Source organism: Homo sapiens, chromosome 5, assembly GCF_000001405.40.
Source record: "Homo sapiens chromosome 5, GRCh38.p14 Primary Assembly".
Lineage (NCBI taxonomy): Eukaryota > Metazoa > Chordata > Mammalia > Primates > Hominidae > Homo > Homo sapiens.
In genome coordinates, this window is record NC_000005.10 from 39,295,723 (window position 1) to 39,318,989 (window position 23,267).

The 23,267-nt window shown below is 34.4% G+C and overlaps 1 protein-coding gene across 1 annotated transcript in view; it reads right to left on the minus strand.

Annotated features, from left to right (window-relative positions):
• The window catches only part of C9 (complement C9), an 80,356-nt gene that overhangs the window by 11,583 nt on the left and 45,506 nt on the right, over nt 1-23,267 (minus strand). Inside the window, exons 6-9 of the mRNA NM_001737.5 lie at nt 20,053-20,307; nt 15,415-15,655; nt 12,508-12,636; nt 10,895-11,070 (exon numbers count right to left, since the gene is read on the minus strand). Coding sequence (NP_001728.1) covers nt 10,895-11,070; nt 12,508-12,636; nt 15,415-15,655; nt 20,053-20,307 — 801 coding nt within the window. The remainder of the gene's footprint in view (nt 1-10,894; nt 11,071-12,507; nt 12,637-15,414; nt 15,656-20,052; nt 20,308-23,267) is intronic.

Sequence of the window (23,267 nt, forward strand, 5' to 3'; positions counted from 1 at the left end):
AACAAACAACAACAACAACAAAAACAAAGCTAGGAGTATCGCATTATCGGATCTCGAAATATATTACAAAGCTGTAGTAACCAAATCAGCATTGTACTGCCATAAAAACAGGCACATAAGCAAATGGAACAGAACAGAGAACCGGAAATTAATATATCTATCTACAGTCAACTAATTTTTGACAAAAGTACCAAGAAAAATAACTGGTTTCTTTTCAATCTTTTCAATAAATTGTGCTAGGAAAAACTGATTGTCCATATGCAGAAGAATAAAATTAACCCCCCACTTTTTGTCCTATAAAAAATCAACCCAATATAGAATACTTTATTGTAAGACCTAAAACTATAAAACTACTGGAAGAAAACATAAGGGAAATGCTTCAGGACATTGGTCAGGGAAAAAATTTTCTGAATAGGATCTCAAATGCACAGGGAACAGAAGCAAAAATACACAAATGGTTTATATCCAATTGAAAAGCTTCTGTACAGCAAATAAAACAATCAACACGTGACCTGCAGAATGGGGAAAAATATTTTCAAACTATGCATCTGACAGGAGACTAATATCCAGAATTTAGAAGGAACTCAAACAACTAACAACAACAAAATAAATAATCTGATTGAAAAATAAACAAATGATCTGAAGAGCCATTTTGCAAAAGAACACACATAAAAGGCCAAAAAGTATATTTAAAAATGTTCAATATCAAACGGATAAAAATAAACAATGCTGGCAAGGATGTGGAAAAAAAAGGAACTCATAACACTGTTGGTGGGAATGTAAACTAGTATAGTCACTATGTAGAACTATATGAAGGTTCTTTTGAAAACTATAAACACAATTATCACATGATCCAGCAATTCCAATACTGGCATTTATCCAAAGGAAAGAAAATAAGTATATAAAAGAGACATCCGCACCCTTCTGTTTATTGCAGCATTATTCACAGTAGCCACATGGATAAATAAATAATGTATTTTTTCTTTTTAAAGAAAATAATGTATGTACACAATGGAATACTATTAAGCCATAAAAAAGAACAAAATCTTGTCATTTGTGGCCACATAGATGGAACTGGAGGATATTATGTTAAGTGAAATAAGCCAGAAAGAGAAAGCTAAACACCGCATGTTTTCTCTTATATGTGGAAGCTAAAAAAAAAACTGATCTCATAGATGTAAAAAGTAGAACAGAGGATACTAGAGGTTGGGAAGGGTAGGGGAAAGACAATACAATAAAGGCCATATATGACAAAACCACAGCCAACATCATACTGAATGGGAAAGAGCATACTGAAAGGGATATTTGTTAAAAGATACAACATTACAACTACATAGGAGGAATAAGTTCTAGTGCTCTATAACATTGTAGGATTACTATAGTTAATAATTATGTGTTATTATACATAGTTTCAGGTATCTAGAAGAAGAATATTGAATGTTCCCAACACAAATAAATGACAAATGTTTTAGATGATGGATACACTAATTACCCTGATCCGATAACTATACATTATCATTATCAAAATATCACTATGTACCCCATAAGTATGTACAATTCTTATATGTCAGTTTAAAAAAGAAATGTCGGAAATGAGCAAAAAGGAGACAAAGAATATACAGAACAAATAAAAACAACTAGCAAGTACAGATTTTAATTTAACTGTTTCATTAATTACATTAAATGCAAATGGATTTAATACACTAATTAAAATACAGATAGTTACTTTAGATAAAAATAGCAAGACCCAACTATATACTGTCTACAAGAAACTCACTTTAAATACAAAGCTGTAGATAGTTTCAAAGTAAAAGGATGGAAAAAGTTATCCCATACAACATTAATTAAATGGAACCTCCTTGGCTATATTACCATACAAAAAATTCTTAACAAATAATATTGTTAGGAATAAAAAGATGAAGTTTTCAATATACAAAGAAGATATATAATCTAAATGTGTATGCACCCAATGACAGAACTTTAAAATACATAAAGCTCAAACTGATAGAACTGAAAAGAGAAATAATAAATATACCTAGACATTTCAAAGTTCTGCTCTCTATAATTGAAAGAGTAAGGGCACAGGAAAAGAAGTCCTGGGCTGTGCTATCAACTAATTGACCTAACTGACATTTACAGAGCATTCTACCCAACAACAGCAGAATACATATTCTTTTCAAGTGCACATAGGCATATCTATGCCTTAAAAATACTCAATATATTGAGAATAATGAAAATAATACAAAGTATGTCCTCAGACCAAACAAAATGAAAGTTGAAATAAGTAACAGAAAGCTATCTGAAAAATCCCCAAATATTTACCCCATTAATTACCACATTTCTGAATAACCCATGTGTAGAAGAGAAAGTCACAAAAAATTAGAAAATATTTTAAATTGAATGAAAATGAAAACACATCAAAACTTGTGGGACACAGTTAAAGAAATGCTTAAAGGTCAATTTACAGCACAAAATACCTATATTAGACAAGAAAAAAATATCTAAAATCAATAATAACAGCACCCAGCTTAAGAAACTAGAAACAGAAGAAAAATTTAAGTACAAAGCATAAGGAAGGAAATAATGAGAATTGAAATAGAAATTGAAATGGGAAAAAAATAGAGAAAATTTTTTTAAAGCTGCTTTTTTGAGATTACAAAAAATGATAAACCTCTACCAGATTAATTAAAAATCAAACAAGATAAGACAAAAGGGAAAAACTTTAAATTAACAATACCAGGAATCCAAGACAGGATATCACTATAGAATCTACAGACATCAGCTGCTTAATAAAATGGAAAAATTCCTTGAAAGACAATTGATAAAAACTGAATCAGAAAAAATGCATAATTGGACTTCTAATATCTATTTAAATAATTGAATTTAGAGTTAAATTTTTTTCTAACAAAGAAGGCCTAGATGGCATTATTGGTGAATTCTACAAACATTTAAAAAAGACATATCAATTCTACAAAAACTTTTTCATAAAATAGAGAAGAATTTACTTCTCACTTATTTTACAGTTAGCATTACTTTGATACCAAAACCAAATAAAAATAGTTAGGAGAAGAAAATTACAAATCAATATCACTCATGAACATATTTGCAAAATATCCCAAGACAATAGCAAACCAAATACAATAGTTTTTAAGCACCAGGTTTGCTCAAAATTTAAATAATCAATATCATTCACCATAACAACTTATTAAAAGTGAAAAACCATATGATCATCTCAATAAAGAAAAATTCTTGGACAAAATTCAACATCTATTTATGACAAAAATTCTGAGCAAACTAGGAATTAAAGGGAACTTCCTCAACCTGATAGAGATAATCTATGTAAAACCTACAGCTAACATCATACTTAATGGTGCAATATTATATTAGATGCATTAGACAATGCAATAATGCAAGAAAAAGAAATAAAATACATAGAGATTGAGAAAATAAAGAAATCTCTATTTCAGATGACATGATTATCTAAGGAATTGAAACTCTCATATATTTCTGGTGGTAATGCAACTACTTTGGAAAAAAATTTGGCTATTTCTTATGTAATTTTGTATAAACACACATATCATATGACCAAGCAATCTCTCTCCTAGAGAAAAGAAAAATATGTTCATGCAAAATTCTGTATTCAAATATTTATAATGGCTTTATTCATAATCACCAAAAAATATCCCCGTCTGGGAACAAATAAATGTCCTTCAACAGATGACTAGATAAACAAACTGTTTAATCTATATCATGGAACTACATATAATGGAATACTACTGAGCAATGAAAATGAAAGGAACTACTCATACATACAAGAATGTCGATGTGTGAATGTGGATGGATCTCAAATGTGTAACACTAAGTGAAAGAAGCCAAATTCAAAAAGTTACGTGATTACATTTATATGGCAGTAAATAGATCAGTGGTTATGTAGAAGTGGGGCAGGAAAGAGGAGTTGATTGAAAATGGACATGATAGAACTGTGTGGTAGAAATGTTTTATGTATTGGTTTTCATGGTGGTTTCATGATTGTAAGTGTTTGTGGAAACCTAGGGCCCTTTACACTAAAAAAAATAAATTTTACTTTACATAAGTAATGTCTATTTTTAAAAATCTAATTACATTAAAATGTATCTATATACTACTCACTAAAAACCAAGATATAAAATTATATTATATGAATTCAAATTGGCTAACTATACCTCTGATAAAGACTCTGATGACTGGAAAATGTACACTAAAATATTAACATTATGATATCTATTTCACTTGTGTTTTTGGATTATATTAGAAAAGGTTTGTTAGGTTAGAGATTTTTATCTCTTTTATTCACTGCTTTAGACTCAATGCCACAATAGAGCCTGGTACACTGCAGGTGCCTAAGAAGTATTTGTCAAAGATGAAAATAGGCTGGGTGCAGTGGCTCCTGGCTGCAATCCCAGCACTTTGGGAGGCCAAGGCAGGTGGATCATTTGAGGTCAGGAGTTTGAAAACAGCCTGGCCAGCATGGTGAAACCTGTTTCTACTAAAAATACAAAAATTAGCTGTGCATGGTGGCAAGCACCTGTAATTCCAGCTACTTGAGAGGCTGAGGCAGAAGAATCCTTTGAAGCCAGGAGGTGGAGGTTGCTGTTAGACAAGACTGCACCACTGCACTCCTGCCTGGGTGACAGAGTGAGACTCGATCTTTAAAACAAAAACAAAAAGAAAAGAAGCAAAAAGAAAAGAAAAAGAAAAGAACAAAGATCATCACATTTGATTTAAAAAGTCCAACTAATCCAAACAAAACTTGAGGACACAAACAAATTGAGAAAAAAAGACTGGAGAATGTGTGCTATGTGCATACCAACAGAGACGTCTGGCAAACATAGGTAATTTAAAAAAAAAAATTGAGGCAGAAAACATTTACTAGAAATAAAGGAAGACATTTTAATTGACCAAGAAAATGTAATAATTCTAAATTTGTATGCCTTTGGTAATATGCCTTAAAATATATAAAATAAAAATTGATCCAAGTACAAGGAGAAATAAATACACAAATGTAGTGTAGAGTTATAGATTTCTTAGAATTTTCTATTTAAACAACATACCATGTATAGAAAGACAGTTTAACTTCTTCCTTGCAGTCCTTAGGTATTTTATTTATTTTTCTTGCTTTATTTCACTGGCTAGGACTCAGTGTAATATGAAATAAAAATGATGAGAGTTAATATTTTTCGTGTATTCCTTATTTTAGTGAGACCAAGTTTAATATTGTAGATCTAAATATAAAAGCAAAATAATAAAGCTGTTGAAGGATAATACATAGGAAAGTATCAAGGCCTTGAGGTAGGAAACAACTTTAATTCAAACATTAAAAGCACTAACTATAGTGAATAGAAAGATACATTTAACTAAGTCAAAATAAAAAAATCATCAACATCATAACCCATAATATGATGCACTGAGAATAACAGAACATTACTTCTGTAGTATTCTTGCCAAATATGCATAACCTTAACCTACTTGAATGCTAAATTGGGAGACATTTGACGTGATAACTGACCAGTCCTCATAAAAAGTGTCAAGGTTGAGAAAGACTAGGAAAGTCTGAAGACCTATAACAGATTGGGAGACAGTAAAGAGATGTGACAACTAAATGCAATGTGGGACCCTAGATTGGATCCTGAAACAGGAAAAAAAAAAGGTTAAGGGAAAAACTTGTGAAATTTGTACAAAACCTGTGCTTTAGCTAATTACTCAGTGTGAATTTTCTGATTTTGATAATTTTACTATGCTTATGTAAATTACTAACATTAGGAGCTGGGAGATGAAGCTTATAAGTGAATTCTCTCTACTATTTCTGCAATATTACTCTCTGTACTATTCTGCAATATTACTTCTGCAATACTACTTCTGCAATATTACTATCTGCACTATTTGTGTAATTTTGCTGTGTCTAAAATTAGTTCAAAATAAAAAGTACATAAGAGGACATCTGTATCAAAAACACCATTAAAGATGAAATTCTTTAGTGGGAGAAGATATTTGCAAAACTTTAGTTGTGAATATGCTCATATATGGAATATATCAAGAACTTCTACAAAGTCAGCATAACTGTTCACCAGTGTAGTCTTTTATGAATTAGTATATAGTATATAGGATTCAGATTTCAACCATGTCATATTTATTTGAAAGAAGGAAACCTCTCACCAACATTGTCACATTGGCACAAACAACATAGGCATGTGGTAGAATTATTTTGATTTTTTTTTAAAGAAATTCATCTTGTTATACCCTTCAAAGGAAAGTCAAGGCCAGACAGTCTAAGATACAGGAATAGAGGGTCATGAAGGAAATACAATTTGGATTAAATGTATAAACAGTGTTGGAAGAGTTAAAGATGAAGGACATGCAATGGCAATAGTTTCAGAGGAGCTTCAAATCCTGGAGTTAAAAATTCCACAGGAGGACAAAGGAAAATTAAAATGTACTTTTTGAAGTTTTCCTGAAGGGTTCCATCTTTTTCTGATGAACTTTTATCTTCTATTAAGTAAGAAAATGATTTTACTTTTTCTCCTATACTACATAACTCTATCTTTCTACCATGTGTTGATATATTTATGGTAGGATATAATCTACCATAAAAGTGGTAAAGTATAAATAAGTTGATAATATAGTTTAATAATAAATAGGTGGAGATTTCCTTCAGACATCCAAAATAAACTATGTATACCAACTGTAGTTTGTTGATAGAATGAGTGTTGTTTTTTATCCCTAAACAAGAGAGTTAGAAATGATTTTCACTGGTACTACAACCCTTTAAAATATTGATGCTCTTTAACATCTGGTTCATAACTGCTAACAGTTACACAATAGAGCAAAAATGACGGGTTAATTAATTCATGAATTACTACATCATGTAACTCTGGAAGAACTAATACAGCTTAACATATAGACATATGAGTGGTTGAGGGAAATGGGAAAGGAGAACTGAGAACAGAAAAAGCAAGATGGAGGCAAAAGCAACAAAAATGAACTACATTCATGCCAGGAGGACCCATCCATTTGCATGAAGTAGGTCACAAATTTAGCTTCATTTTCTAGTGCATTGAGTAAGACACAGTTGAATTTACTGATCTCATGCATTTCTTACCAATCAGGTAGAAGAACTCACCTGATTCCCAAGAGAAACAAAATGAGATTAAAGAGTAATATTTCTTATGAGTCTCATAAAGAGGACACAGCATTACATAACAACCTTTTAGTAAATAAAACAGTAGATTACATAACTTTGTTTCTAATAATGGAAAAACAAAACTTTACAGGAAGCCAATATTGTAGCTGTACTCATCTTGCTGCTATTGCTCTAGAAGAAATAATAATCTTTATATCTTCCAGGCAATCTATAATAAATGTAATTTCTCTTAGCTGACATTTTAATAACTAATTTGTAGCAGTAGGTTTAAGAGGAAAACAAAGTGCAGCTATTCTGTTGAGTTAAACTGTAGAACCACTTGTGTTAACATTCAGGCAAGTTGGCAATAGAATTAATATACTTTCATGGAAGCTGAAGACCATGACAAAAGTAAGTACTGAAAGAGAGGGCCAGCCTATGTCCTCTGCATGGAGAAAGGCCAAGGAGAGATTTTTGGGCTGGGCCAAGACATTCCTCAAGAAGTGGTTTTGGGTTTGACAAAGCAGACAAATGGGGCCTCAAAACCACAGGTTCTACCTAACAGAGCATGGCTATAGTTACTTTAGTACGGAAAAATATATAACTGTATTTATAGATTTTATAAACTATATTATTTTATAGTATTTTATAAATTATATTTATAATTATATATACTATATATTTATAACATATATATTTTACCACATAGTTTACTTAGAAAATCTCAGTAACATATTCATACAGCATTCCACTTAGAGTAAAACAGCAGGTCCCAGAATGTTATTTCATTCAAGGTCATTTCTTTGTAATATTGAGAAAAAAATCAATTCTCAGCTGGGGTCACTGTCTGCATAGGGATTTTGACATTCTCCCCATGTTTGTGTGGGCTTTCTCTGGTTCTGCTTGTTTCCTCCCGCATCCCAAAGATAGTCATGCTAGACAAATCAGTGTGTCTATATGGTCCTAGTCTCAGTGAGTGTGGGTGTGTGGAGTTTGCCTTGTGTTGAGACGGTGCTCTGTCCATGGCTGATTCCTGCTTTGCACCCTGAGCTGCTGGGATAGACTACCCTGAACTAGAATAAACAGGTAAATCATTATCTTACTTGTTTTTATTAATCTTTTTAAAATGTGTGAATAGCTTACATATATTTCAAAATTTAATATTAGAAGTGTTTCAGTTTTTATTTAGAAGTTTGGTGATGTTTTTGTGACCAGAAATACACTACAGGAACTTAACCCATTCATTAGCGTATGGTAAAATTGGTTTTGTTACAGGTCATTTTGGTTAAGGTCACAGTTTCCAAGAACCTATTGATAATATTAAGTGAGAGCTTACAGTCACCTTTCTGGTCTTTCCTCCAAGATAATCAGTTTGCAACATAAATACCTAGATAATTGCTTTAATTTGCTACAGAAGATTTAATATTGACCAGTTTATAGTTTAGGGTGGGTGGGGAGAGGTTCTAGTAATTCTTCAAAAGACTATCCCCTATGTTTGAACATGTCATCTGCAGACAACATAATGCTTCAAATTCCTGAAAATGAATTAGTGATCATAGATTGTGTAATTGTCTCCTGGAAATAGCTACAAGTTAACCAGAGGTCCACTTCTACCTGAATTATGAGAGTAAAATAACTTGGAATCTAATTCAAGATCAAATTTAACTATATCTCATGTTTCTTCAGAGACTTAAAAGTCATACAAAGTCAACAAAACCCATAATTTTGCTTTTCCTCAACTCTTTCTACAAGAAGATAAATTTAAAAAGTGGTCCATAGTGAACTAACTATAGCTACCATTTCCTTAGGTAGAATGTTGATATGAAAAGGCCAGCCTTCCAGTTTATCAAGAAAGAAACTTATACAGATAGTCTAAATGGAATGCCTACCAACCTGAAAATTTGGGGAAGTAAATGGTTGTCCCTAAAAATGGGATAAACTATATTGTGCATCCATACAGCAGGACTGCACCAACAAAGTTGATGAGGGTCTTTGAATAGTTTTAATAAATCTAGTAGTAAATCTTCAGCAGCTGCCTTATTTACTTGAGATTTAAAAAATTATCTCTAGAACGTGCTGAACTATTATTAAGACCTCTTCAGAGAACACTCTTGAATTTGTAGAAAGACAGTTGAATTTGCTTTGTAGAGATGAGAAAATAAGCCTCCTGGGATGTTCACCTCGATGTAAATATTCACCTAAATCACCCATTTTTTTTCTTATTTAAGATCTTCCAACATAAACTTATTTTACTGAGTTCAAGATAATGAATTTGTGTTAGATTTAAATTTAATAAGATCAAAGAGGCATCCTCTGATTTTAATTTCATACATGGAATTTCACCAGCTTTTTTCCCCCTTTTTGTCCTACTTTGGGACAAAATATTTTAACTCATAAATACATTGCATATCTATGAACGGCTGTATTTCTATAACATAAAGGGAGAATAGATTATAAAAATTTTCAGTTTCTGAGTTCCTTCTTCACATAAAGGAGATAGTGGTTTCACTCATTCTTTAAAGACAATAAAATAGAATAAAGGAATAAAATTCTCCAATAACTAGTCCTATGAAAATGTTAAAATTTCTGTAACTCAAGTTAATCAAACTGGAGTAGGGAGCAGTCAAAAATAAATGTGACCTGAGGAAAGCAAATTGTAAAACATACGGCGAAAATTGAAAGTTATAAAGGTAAGTAGAAAAAAAGCACTTACTAATAGTACCAGTAAAAGAAGTAAAGAAAAATGCATACTAGTTTTAGGCAGCTTGGGGAAAGAAAGATGAGGCTAAATAACATTGTCATTTATATCTTTACAATGATAACACATTTTTTTTTGTCTAGGAATAAGAACTTGACTATGAACTCCCAAAGGGTTTGTAAGCTGAAAACTATTATAATCAAGATAGAAAAAGGAAAAAAATCTACTGACCATAAGAATTGTTCACCGTTAGTCTTATTTTCTTGTAGACTTTATGAACATTTCTTTCATAAAGACCCTTAGGCCAGGCATGGGGGCTCACGTCTGTAATCCCAGGACTTTGGAAGGCTGAGGCAGGCAGATCACTTGAGGCCAGGAGTTTGAGACCAGCCTGGCCAACATGGCGAAACCCTGTCTCTACTAAAAATACAAGAAAATTAGCTCGATGTGGTGGTGCGCATCTGTAATCCCAGCTACTGAGGAGGCTGAGGCATGAGAATCACTTGAACTCGGAAGGCGGAGGTTGCAGTGAGCTGAGATTGCACCACTGCACTCCAGCCTGGGTGACACAGTGAGACTCTGTCTCAAAAAAAAAAAAAAAAAAAAAGACACTTAGTAAATACAATTCTCCTGTGTTAGACGTGATAGTGGAACACCACGGGAAGGCAAGAACAGCCAGGGGCCGACGGGAGGGAACTAATCATATGTGAGTACCTATCTTGTTACAGTGTGTGCTGTATGCTCTATATAAGCAATTTCGTTAAATTCTCAGAACAAAGATGGAGTCCTAGAGAATTCAGTGTTGTAGAGGTCAGAAAACATCCCACACATAGTGAGAGACAGAGACAGGAAGTCAGCCAGGATGGTCTGACTCTACACCATGCCTTTTCTCTATGCCATGCCTCCTTTTGGGGAAGAAATGGGAGTGTATCTGAATGTTCACGTCTCTTTCAGATGAAGCTAACAGTTCACCTGAAACAATGTGACATTTAATAAAAAAATGACACAGTCTTCTGTTTGAAAATAAACACGTTTCTTACTTTTTGACTAATGAGAACAGGAGCATCATTTATGGAAGAGGCCCAGTTGACAAAGTCAGTCACATCAATCACGGTTCCTCGGAGAAGCTTTTCTTTCAGTTCAAATGCATATTTTCTGGTTCCACCTCTTATGAGTGAAACAACATCATCTATGAGGTTTTCACTGGTGATGTTTACTGAGGAGAGAAGGAAGATTTAAAGAGAAGCAGAAGAAGTTTAAAGAGAAGCCAGTTATCAAAAGGACATATGATAAACATTTATTGAGTCCTTTTAGTAAAATACAGCCTAATGTATTTATTAAATTTTAATTGTAAATATTGCTTATGCATTTTTTCACCTCAAATCTACAATGGAAATTTACATTAGTAACCAGTTGTAGATTTCTGTCATCTCTTTTAAAAAATAAAAATGATACCCATGGTCTAGATACACTGATAAATTCACAGCTCCTCACATACAAACATGTACTCACGGGAACTAAATATGACTTTGGGTGTAATATATATTTTCTTTTGCAAACTTACCTTCATAATTATATTGTGTACATTTGCTTTGATATGTTTTAATATTACAAAAAGAAGAGTTCAAAAAAGAATAAAGTGAAAAGTAACATTTCTTTCCACTCCCAAATCCTACCCATCGTTTCCCTCAGTGTCTCTCTGTAGATGAAGCCACTTTTAACAAAACTTTGTAAGTCTTTTACAGCTGTGAATTTTTAAAACTGGAAAGGAATTTCAAGATAATTTTTGTCATCCCCTCTTCATTTTTATAGAAGAGAAATTGGAAACTTAGAGAGGTGGAGTGACTAGTCAGAGATCACACAGTTAGCTTAAGGACCAAATATAGAAATTATACCGTATAATGGCAAATTCAGCTTTTTTCCACTACTTCATCATTGGTTTTTCAATCATGGACACATATTATTGGTTGGTATGCTTTTAAATATATCAGGTTTTTCCTCACTTTTGCCTCCCCACTACCAGTTGACTCTTCCTTTAAAGGTGAGCTTTAAGCATTTGTATTTTAAAAATGTTCTCAGGTATTTCTGATTAGAGGAAAAGTTGAGAACTCTAGCACTAATTCATGCTTGTAAATCTGCTAAAGATTAACAGTAGGAAGTAATATTTATACCAAACATATTTGTATTTTTGAAAAGGTTAGGCACCAATTTAAAGTTAAGGATGAATTAGGGATTTCAATTTAGATGGAAGGTGGAGTTGGGGAAATGGTTTTGGCCTTGTCCTTTGTTAATGGATGCACGAACATTGTCGCTTGCTTATTTGGAAGCTTTGTTAAAATTAGGGTGAAGAAAGGAAACTTTTTATGAAGATACTTTTTTACTATTGCCATAATAAATATACAAGTCTAAAATGACTACCGTGTGAATCACACCCCCTTGAGTTGTGTACTGTACAACTGGCACAATAGTGATACTGGTGAATACATGTCCATGCGCTATCGGTGTTTATAGTGGTTTGAAAACCGCTTTAAATGTAAGATAGTTTTTAAGCACAAAGAGGACAGACAATTAAGAGGGCTCATTGCAAGAGGGCAGTGCTCATTGACATCTACCCTCAGGCTTTATAAAATCTAACAAGTGAGGCCACACTTACCAGCTCTACCCTCTCCCCTCTTTACACAATCATCTTTATTAAATTCAGCTCCAACAGAGATTTCAGAGAAAGCCAGAGATACATCCAGATGATACCCAAGGCATCTCTTTATGTCTTTTAGTTCAACACCTGTTTAATGAATTTATTTGAAAATTATTAGATAATGTCTACCAACATCACAAATAAATTCCAATTTTGCTATTTTCAAGCAACATCCTTACTTAGGTTCCTATACACCATGACTAAATTCAAATGTGCCATCATGTCTGTCCTGCTTTGTCCTCATATTAGATTATAGTGACCTCCTTTTGACTTTGCTTGTCAACTTAATGGCAAAGGACACATTAAGTCTACCACATGGTTTAAAGGGATATAGGTCAGACTATGGTGGTTATAGTAAAGTCTTTTATCTGTAATATCATAGAAAAGGGACAACAATGTCTAACATATATTGAATGCTTATCATGTGTCTGGCATCCTTCTAAGCATTTTGTGTGCTTTAACTAATTTAATCCTCACACTGGCCTTATGAAGTAAGTCCATATTGTCCTCATTGTACAGATGAAAATATGGAATTGCAGAGCAGTTGAATAACCTACTAATGGCTCATTACTCAGCTAGTAAGTTTGGATTTGAACCCAGAGTTGTCTAGCTACTAAGCACTTCTCTGTATCAACTTCATAATTTGGATGAGATACATCAACATCTCCTGATCCTCTTTGGAAGACTCAGTTCATCCTTAATGTAGCTGGTTCATCGCTTTGGACAGATGGCTGATGTATGTGGTCACTTTGTTTTCATCCTATGAATGCTACTTGGTAGATATCAGTCTTGGAAGCTGACTCATTATGGTGTGTAGATGCCCAAACAGTTACTAGAAAGAAAAATCCTAATATTTTCAAAGTCTATCAGTTATTATCTGTTTTTGCAATTCATAAAAAAAATAATTATTCCTCTATTTTAAGGGTAAACATCCCAGACCACAGTTCACTGACAATGTCAGTTTTTGCCGTTATTTATCATTTATTTCATACATGCAAACACACACACACACACATACACACGAATTTGTGATTATTTGTTCTGGGAGTCAAAATGCTTTATGAAAAAGGAAAGAAAAAAATGAAATGAGGTTAATCATGGGGTTCTACAAGGAGTATCAGGGGTAGACATCTGGGGGCATTTAGGCGTTTATTCACCTATCAAATATTTCTCATGCACCCACAATTAGTGAGAACTTAGAAATTATCAGGTGGCATTTCCCATGGGAAGGGAAGAGAGAGGATAAAAATCGAAGACAATACTAGAAATCCGTAATTCTAGATTTCTAACCTTATCCTTAAGAAGTGTGAGGACTCTGCTTCTGAAGATGAGGGTGAAAGATAACCTGGGTGACCCTAAAGGGCTCAGATTCTCTGCCTTAGCAGTGGACACTCATGTCCAGACATCTTAAATTGAGGTGGAGGACATGGCTTGGTTCTCAGATATTGGCACTGGAGAAGTGAGAAAGAGCACTTCCTCTTCAAAGTCACTAGAATTGACCTGATGATCCTTGTCTATTAAGGCCAGAAGGTAAGTAGCTTCTGAGTTATTCAGGATTAAAGATCTCTTCCTATGGAGCTTTTTCATCAAAACAACTCCTAGTCTGAAGATTTCTTTGTGTTTTGATCACCACTCATAAGCCTTTCTCTTCTCATTTTCAAGTTACTCAAGACCTGTGTCCTCTTGTACCCTTCCCTTACGTGATATCTCCATCAATATAGCTTCCAGGTGGAGCTCACAGCAACTTCACTATGCTGTGGATATAGCCCTGTGAAAGTGTAAGCTAAGTAACATTACATTCCACTCCCCCCCGGGAAAGCTTCTCTCTGCCCAAAACAAGACTGAGGCATCAAGACCAGCTGGTTCTGGCTATGTCATGTTTTGTTATCCATAAAGTATTTGCTGACCTTGGGGAGAATATCAGGCTTTTACGTCACAGTTACATTCCACCCTTCACTTAACACCTGATACCTTGACACTGACCCCGTAAAAGCCATTAAAGTGGTTTTTAGCAACGCTTTCCTCCCTAAGAGACACACCTATAGTTACAAGGGCAGAGAGGAAGCATCCTGGCATCCATCACCTCCTTAAGGAATATTATAACTAGCCATAATTACTCACAACATGAATGATTACAACTTATTAATATAGTCACTTTGCATTTACTTTTTTCTTAAAAGACTTAGACGAACCCTTTAGGCCAGGCTGATAACTATGTATCAGTAGGCCTATCTTCTACCCATGACAGACATTGATAATTAACCATGGCCCTTTTCCCCATGATTTCCCCATGACCAGAAACCTACTTAACATGAGCCCAATTCAACCACCACCATATAATGAGAAGTGTCATCACATGAGGTAAAACTAATTTTCCACCCTTGCTTTAAGATGTTAGATTTATATGATAACACTGCTTCTTCTTTTCCCTCTAAAAGAAAATTTAGAACAATATTTTCCCTCCAATATTGAAGTATACTCTGGAAGATAACTGTGATATAGAAATTGAACTAGTCTATTGATTAAGAAGTAGGTTATACAAATTATGTCTGTACTTTCTTTCACCTTTTGTTTAGTATTTCACTAAAAGTACCACCTTCTAATAGATGTGAAGCTGCAATACAATGGATCCATCTCTCAGTGCTACTGTTGAGTAGAGTATGACCAAGTCAGCTTGTTTGAGATGGAAGTCAATTTGCTATTTAACAGGGTTTTAGGTGCCAAAGGGCAGGAAGAGAGTCCTCTCAAAGGAGCAGGTTACAGGGCTTTGTATTCTTAAGACTTTAACCATTGAAACAGGTTGGTGAACAAAATAATGTTTGGTCAAAACAGTATTTGAAGTCAGAGCTCTATTTCTAGGCATACCTTTCCGCTTCATGGAAGCTTTATCCAAAACATATATTAGTTCATAGAGTCCTCCTAGAGACCCAGAGCTACTGTAGTGAGTTCCATAGGTTTCCAAAAAGGCAAAATATTCTCCCTTTTCATAGGTAGTTGGCAAAGCTTTTATATCATCCACAAAAGTTGTTGTGAGCACAACATCGCGATTTCTCATTACAAATCTTCCCAGATGAATTTCTCCTTTCACATGCAGAAACATTTTTTCCTGTGTTGTAGAGCAGATGAAGAAGAGAAACATGTGTTTTATCCACCATTTCAAATGAAAATTTATGAAATTTAGAACTTCCATAGGCACTAAATGTTTTAGCAGTGACCATGAGATACCACTCTAATCCACCAGAAGGGCTAAATGTAAAATACTATCAACACCAACTACTGATGAGAATGTGCAGTGACTAAAACTCTCCTACATTACTGGTAAAATTAGACAGCCACTTTGAAGAACTGTGTGGCACTTTCCCATAGTGTTAAGCACACATTTGCTTATGACCAGCCAGCAATTCCACTCCTACATATTTACCTAATAAAAATTTTGTTCACAAAAGTATCTGTATAAGAATTTCATGGCAGCATTAGTCAGAATAGCTTAAAATTGAAAACATCTCAAATGTCCATCAAGAGAGAAATCAATAAACAACCATAGCATATTAATACAATGGAATACTAATCATCAATAAAAAGGAAAATAAAACTACTGATACATGTAACAACATAAATAAATCTCAAAAATATTATACTGAGTAAAAGAAGTCAGACATAGAGGAGTATATCCTATATAATTCCATTTATATGAAGTTCTAGACTAGGCAAAACTAAGCTGTGGTCAGATAAATCTGGTCAGTGGTCACCTCTTAGGTGGTAGGGAACGGAAAAGGGCATAAGGAATTTTTCTTGGGGTAAGAAGCCTGAGTGTCTCTTCATGATGGAATTTTCTTGGTGTGATGTTCTTTAACTCAATGTATTTTAAACATAGATCTTAAATAATTTCCATCTAAATATGCTGCTGTGTCTTCTATGTTAAAACATTTAAAATATTCTCTTGCTAAAGGAGATGGCTACTCTAATGTACATAATTATCAAAACTCATGAAACTATACACTTAAAATCTTTGCATTTTATTTTATGAAATTATACCTCACTAAGTTGTTTTAAAAACAACAGTGGAAGGAAATGGAGACATTATCAATAAAGCCCAATCTTGCTATTATGCAGATGAGAAAACTAATTTAAAGATATCAAGTTATTTGTCCCAAAACATATGAATAATACTTGACAGCATTGGTACTAAAAACCTAGATCTCAGGTCTCCTTGTCCCTTTCAGTCCACCCTCTCAATTTTTAATGACAGAGACAGGACAGACAATATTTTGAGACGTGGAACTCAAGTCAGCCTAAGCAACTCAACAGTTAAATGTTTCCAGGGCCAGGGCTGATGGCTTACCTTTCCCGGAGAAAACTAGGGCAGTGAACTGTGTGATTCAATGCCATAGCTTGTCCTGATGAAAACTAAACTACAATTGACACCCACAATTTTGCAAATGGATCTTTTGAGGGTCTCCTAACAGCTGTGGTTAACATATGATGATTATGTGGGAGTTTAAAATATTTTATTTCTTTTTAAAGGTATATCTTGCAGTATATGAATATCATACCAAACTGTCTGTCTTCTTAAAGCACATTGTTGTCATCATGATTTAACTTTAGGTGACAGTGGGTGATCCAGTCTTTAATAAAAATCTTAGCCTGTATGTTATAGGTCATATGAGCTCTTCATCTCCTGACTTGCACAAGAATTCTCAAATATGCCTTATTCAAAGCATATTTGGATTTCTTTTCAGTTTTGCTAAAACTGGGAGGTATATCTTGGGATTTGGGGTAAGAAAGACATGTGATGTTCTTTGGGTCAATTTACTTCAAAGGTAGCTCTTAGCTCATTATCATCCAAATATGCAGTTGTTTCTTCTATCTTAAAGCAACAAAAAGTTTCCCTTGGCCTCGCTTGCCTGACCAGCCACTACCCATTTCTTTGCCCTCACTAGAAGCAAAATTTATTCAGTTTTCTATACTGTATATTTTGAATTCTCCCCTTCCCTGTTTTTCTTAAATCTAAATTATTCATGCTTCTGACCTCACTACTCCAACAAAATGTCTCTTATCAAGGTCTCCAATGACTTTCATAATCCTAAAGCCTATGATCACTTCTTAGCCCTCATCTTCTTAGCCCTCATCTTCTTTGACATGTTAGCACAATTGACACAGTTCATCACTCTCTTCTTCTTAATAGAGATTATTTTCTTGTCTTCTAGGCCAGTGCTTCTCAAACTATAAAATGTGAACAAACCACCTAGAGAATCTTGTTAAAATGCAACACTGAGTCAGGTAAAATGCAATTCTGGAGCACAGTCTAAGATTCTAGCCTCCCAGCGATGCTGATGCTGCTGTTCCATAGACCACACTCTAAGTAGCAAAGTTCTTGGGCACTTTTTGGTTTCTTTTACTTGTTTTCTATTGAAATTCAGGAAGTTTGGTATTTGATTGTATTCTATTTTCTATGTACACTAACTCTGTTAGTGACCCCATGACGAAGTCAACAAGTCAATGTATAGCTCAATTCCAGGTCTTTTTCCCAAACTCCAGCCTCAAAACACCAACTCCTACTTGGCATTGTCAATTGGATGTCTAATAAACACCTCAAACTTAACCTAACTAAAATTTAATTACTGGTCTCCCTCTCCAAATCTGCTCTATCTGAAGCTTTCTCCATCAGCAACTCCATTTTTCTAGTTGCTCAGGCCAAAAACCTTGGACTTATGTTTGACTCTATAATTGTCCTATCTGAACTACCATCATGTCTCACCTGGATTCCTTCAGTAATTTTTAGCAAGACTCCTTGCTTTGGCTCTTAGCACCTATGATCTCTTCTTGACAAAATACCTTGAGTAATCATTTAAAATATAATAGAGAATGTCAATCTTCTATTAAAAACCCTCAAGTAGGCTGGGCGCGGTGGCTCACACCTGTAATCCCAGCACTTTGGGAGGCCGAGACGGGTGGATCACCTGAGGTTGGTAGTTCGAGACCAGCCTGACAAACATGGAGAAACCCCATTTCTACTAAAAATACAAAATTAGCCAGGCGTGGTGGTGCATGCCTGTAATCCCAGCTACTCGGGAGGCTGAGGCAGGAGAATTGCTTGTACCTGGGAGGCGGAAGTTGTGGTGGGCCAAGATCACACCATTGTACTGCAGCCTGGGCAACAAGAGCAAAAATCTATCTCAAAATAAATAAATTAAATTAAATTAAATTAAATTAAAATTAAAAACCCTCAAGTGACCTCCCATGTCACTCAGAAAAAAAGCCACACTGAGTGGACTTTTAAGTTCTTCATGATCTGATTCAAGGTAACTTTTCTAACTTTTTATCCTTCTGATTCAATTTGACTAACTTTTATCACACCAGGTTTTTCCTACATTAGAGACTTCTCTAACAGTTCCTTCCGTCAGATAAATAATCTGAAATCTTACTCTTTGGCTATCTCCTCTCCTCCAAAGCTTTGGTTACTTCTCATCTCCATGAAGCTAAGCCTGAGCTTCCTTTTTAATCATGCCACCTACAGGCATCCCTGCTTTCCTTCATGTTACTCTAATTTTCCTTGTATCCCACAGAACTTAATACTTTCTAAATACCATATTACTTCTTTTTTGCTATTATATGTATTATTTTTGGCTGTCTCTTTCTGTGGAGTTTTCAACTCCATGAGGACACAAATTTTCATCAGCTTGGTTCACAAATATATTCTAAGTACCTAGGCCAGATAGGTCACAATTAAATATTTGTTGAATGATTTAAAGAATTTTCCACCTGTACACTTGAGTGGGTATGCATGTAAATAGAGAGGTAATGTACAGACCCATACAAAACAATTACATAGTTAGGCATCATATAAGTACTAAGAGTGAATTATTATTGTTAATGTGGGAGAAGCTTGTCTAAATAAGTGACTGTGGTATCAGAAAAGGAAGAATGAGCATTTTACTGGCGTCATGCTGATTACAGAGAGTATATTTTATATTTATTCCAAGAGTGGTAGAACAAACTTCAAAATCTGGTTCAAATATTTTAAAAATCACATTTTCAAAGTCTCAAACGTATGATTACAAAATAATCAGACCAATTTTATGTGCATGTGTATAATTTCATAGCATCATTTCTTTAGAGACACAGTTTGTAGTTAATAAACAGTGATCATTCTAGGTAAGGCATTGCAATGAATTACCAGAATTCTTCAGTATAATTCTTCATTAAAATTCTGATGATCATATAAATTGAATGGTATATTACCACAATCTCAGTCAAAAAATGCTCTAAATTCTTAATACGCATTTTCTGCTCACTACCACCAAACATATTATTCATTTACCACTGCCAAAGATTCTATCAGACTTTTCTCCAGTTAGTATTCTTTCTGACGTGCTAGCTACATATTTGAGAATTTGATCCATGTTTCTTTTCCTTTTTATGATTTCTATTTGCTCAAAATACTTAAAGAGTCTGGGTAGTTTGGAACCTTTCTATATTCCTATATTAACTGTTTTGTCTTACCTTCTTTGAAGAATATGACAAAAATAGTTGGTAAGTTTCATTTTTGGAATATGAAAACCGAAAACTACCCTTGCCATGTAAAGAAATTGAGGAGGCTGTTTCCTCACAACATTGTTCAGCTTTATTTGTTTCAGTGGGTGTAAATTTTAGAGATATAGCTGCATTAAAATTTGATGTCTTCTCTTGGATGATACTTTTAAATGCTTCAATTTGTTCTTCGTAATGTTCGGTTCTGAAATTTTTCTCGCCTTTGGTCTAAAAGAGAATAAAAAAGTGTTGTTAAAAACAAGATACGAAACAAAAGGAAAAACAAGCAGAACAGAACCAAAGAGAAGTCAAACAATTCTTTGAAAGGCAGTAGAACAAAGGAGTTAAGAGCAAAAGTGATGGAGTCAGATTCCTGGGGTTCAAATACAGACTCTGTCACTTTGAAGTGATTATGCAATAATCTCTATGTGCTTAGTATGATTCTTAGTCTATAAAACAGGGATATTCATCATACCTAGCACAAAGGTTCTTATAAAAATTCAGTGAGATAATGCATACGAAGGACTTATAGTATAGCAAACTTTTTTTTCAACTTACTTTAAGTTCTGGGGTACATGTGCAGGATGTGCAGGTTTGCTACATAGGTAAACATGTGCTATGGTGGTTTGCTGCACAGATCAACCCATCACCCAGGTATTAAGCCCAACATCCATTAGCTATTCCTCCTGATGCTCTGTCACCCCTACCCCCAACAGGCCCCAGTGAGTGTTTTTTCCCTAACGTGTCCATGTGTTCTGATCATTCAGCTCCCACTTACAAGTGAGAACATGAGGTGTTTGGTTTTCTGTTCCTATGTTAATGTGCTGATGATAATGGCTTCCAGCTCCATCCAAGTCCCTGCAAAGGACGTGATCTTGTTCCTTTTTATGGCTGCATAGTATTCCATGGTGTATATGTACCACATTTTCTTTATCCACTCTATCATTGATGGGCGTTTGGGTTGATTCCAAGTCTTTGCTATTGTGGATAGTGCTGCAATGAACATATGCATGCATGTATCTTTATAATAGAATGATTTCTATTCTTTTGGATATATACTCAGTATTGGGATTGCTGGATCAAATGGTATTTCTGCTTCTAGATCTTTGAAGAATTGGCACACTGTCTTCCACAATAGTTGAACCAATTTACACACCCACCAACACTGTAAAAGCGTTCCTTTTCCTCTATAACCTTGCCAACATCTGTTGTTTTTGACTTTTTAATAATTGTCATTCTGACTGGTTTGAGATGGTATCTCATTGTGGTTTTGATTTGCATTTCTCTAATGATCAGTGATGTTAAGCTTTTTTTCATATGTTTGTTGGCCACATGAATGTCTTCTTTTGAGAAGTGTCTGTTCATATCCTTTGCCCACTTTTTAATGGGGTCGTTTGTTTTTTTCCTGTAAATTTGTTTAAGTTCCTCATAGACTCTGGATATTGGATCTTTGTCAGATGGATAGATTGCAAAAATTTTCACCTATTATATAGGTTGCCTGTTCACTCTGATGTTAGTTTCTTTTGCCGTGCAGAAGCTCTTTAGTTTAACTGGATCCCGTTTGTCAATTTTTGTTTTTGTTGCAATTGCTTTGGCATTTTATGAAATCTTTGCCCATGCCTGTGTCCTGAATGGTATTGCCCAGATTTTCTTCTAGGATTTCTATAGCTTTTGGTTTTACATATAAGTCTTTAGTCCATCTTGAGTTAATTTTTGTATAACATGTAACGAAGGGGTCCAGTTTCAATTGTCTGCATATGGCTAGCCAGTTCTCCCAGCACTATTTATTAAATAGGGAATCCTTTTCCCATTGCTTGTTTTGGTCAGAGTTGTTGAAGATTAGATGGTTGTAGGTGTGCAGTCTTATTTCTGAGTTCTCTATTGTGTTCCATTGGTCTATGTGTCTGTTTTTGCACCAGTACCATGCTATTTTGATTACCGTAGCCTTGTACTATAGTTCGAAGTCAGGCAGTGTGACACCTCCAGCTCTGTTCTTTTTGCTTAGAATTATCTTGGCTATATAGGCTCTTTTTTGTTTCCACATGAATTTTAAAATGGTTTTTTTTTTTCTAATTCCATGAACAATGTCAGTGGTAGTTTAATGGTAATAGCATTGAATCTATAAATTACTTTGGGCAGTATGGCCATTTTCACAATATTGATTCTTCCTGTCTGTGAGCATGAAATGTTTTTCCATTTGCTTATGTCCTCTCTGATTTCCTTGAGCAGTAGTTTGTAGTTCTTGAAGAGGTCCTTCACTTGCTTTGTTAGCTGTATTCCTAGGTATTTTATGGGTTTTTTTTTTAGCAATCGTGAATGGGAGTTAATTTATGATTTGGTTCTCTGCTTGCCTGTTGTTGGTATATAGGAATGGTAGCAATTTTTGCCCATTAATTTTGCATCCTGAGACTTTGCTGAAGTAGCTTATAAGCTTAAGAAGCCTCTGGGCTGAGACAACGGGGTTTTCTAAATATAGGATCATGTCATCTGGTCATCTGCAAACAAAGATAATTTGACTTTCTCTCTTCGTATTTGAATACCCTTTATTTCTTTCCCCTGCCTGATTGCACTGGCCAGAATTTCCAATACTATGTTGAATAGGAGTCATCAGAGAGAGCATCCTTGTCTTGTGCTGGTTTTCAAGGAGAATGCTTCCAACTTTTGCCCATTCAGGGTGATATTGGCTGTGGGTTTTTCATATATAGCTCTTACTATTTTGAGGTATATTCCTTCAACACTAAAATTTCAATTAGAACTTTTTTTTTTTTTTGCCAACTTGGCTATTGTCAGGTTGTTGTCAGTGAGAGACTTGTTATATAAGTGGTTCAGTTCCCTTTTCAGAAATCTTCTGAATTAGGTATAACTCTTGTCTGGGAAGGGGACACCTGTATCTTCAGACAGTGTCATGGACTGGATTTAGTATTGAGTGGTTGTTCTGCATGAGAAACCTAAAGTTATTACTGTCTCATGAAAAGACTGAAATGTATATAGTTATCTTTAAAACAAGACATGTTGAAGAAACTGCCTAGCATAACAGGGAAAAGCAAACTAACCATTGCCACTTCCCTACTTAGATCTTTCTAATGTATTTCTAATGACTTTAATATAGTCTAAACTAGATTTATTTCTAGTCAATCTCTCCCTAACTGTGTGTCAGCCATCCAGCTGTTCCACAACCCATGCTGTTC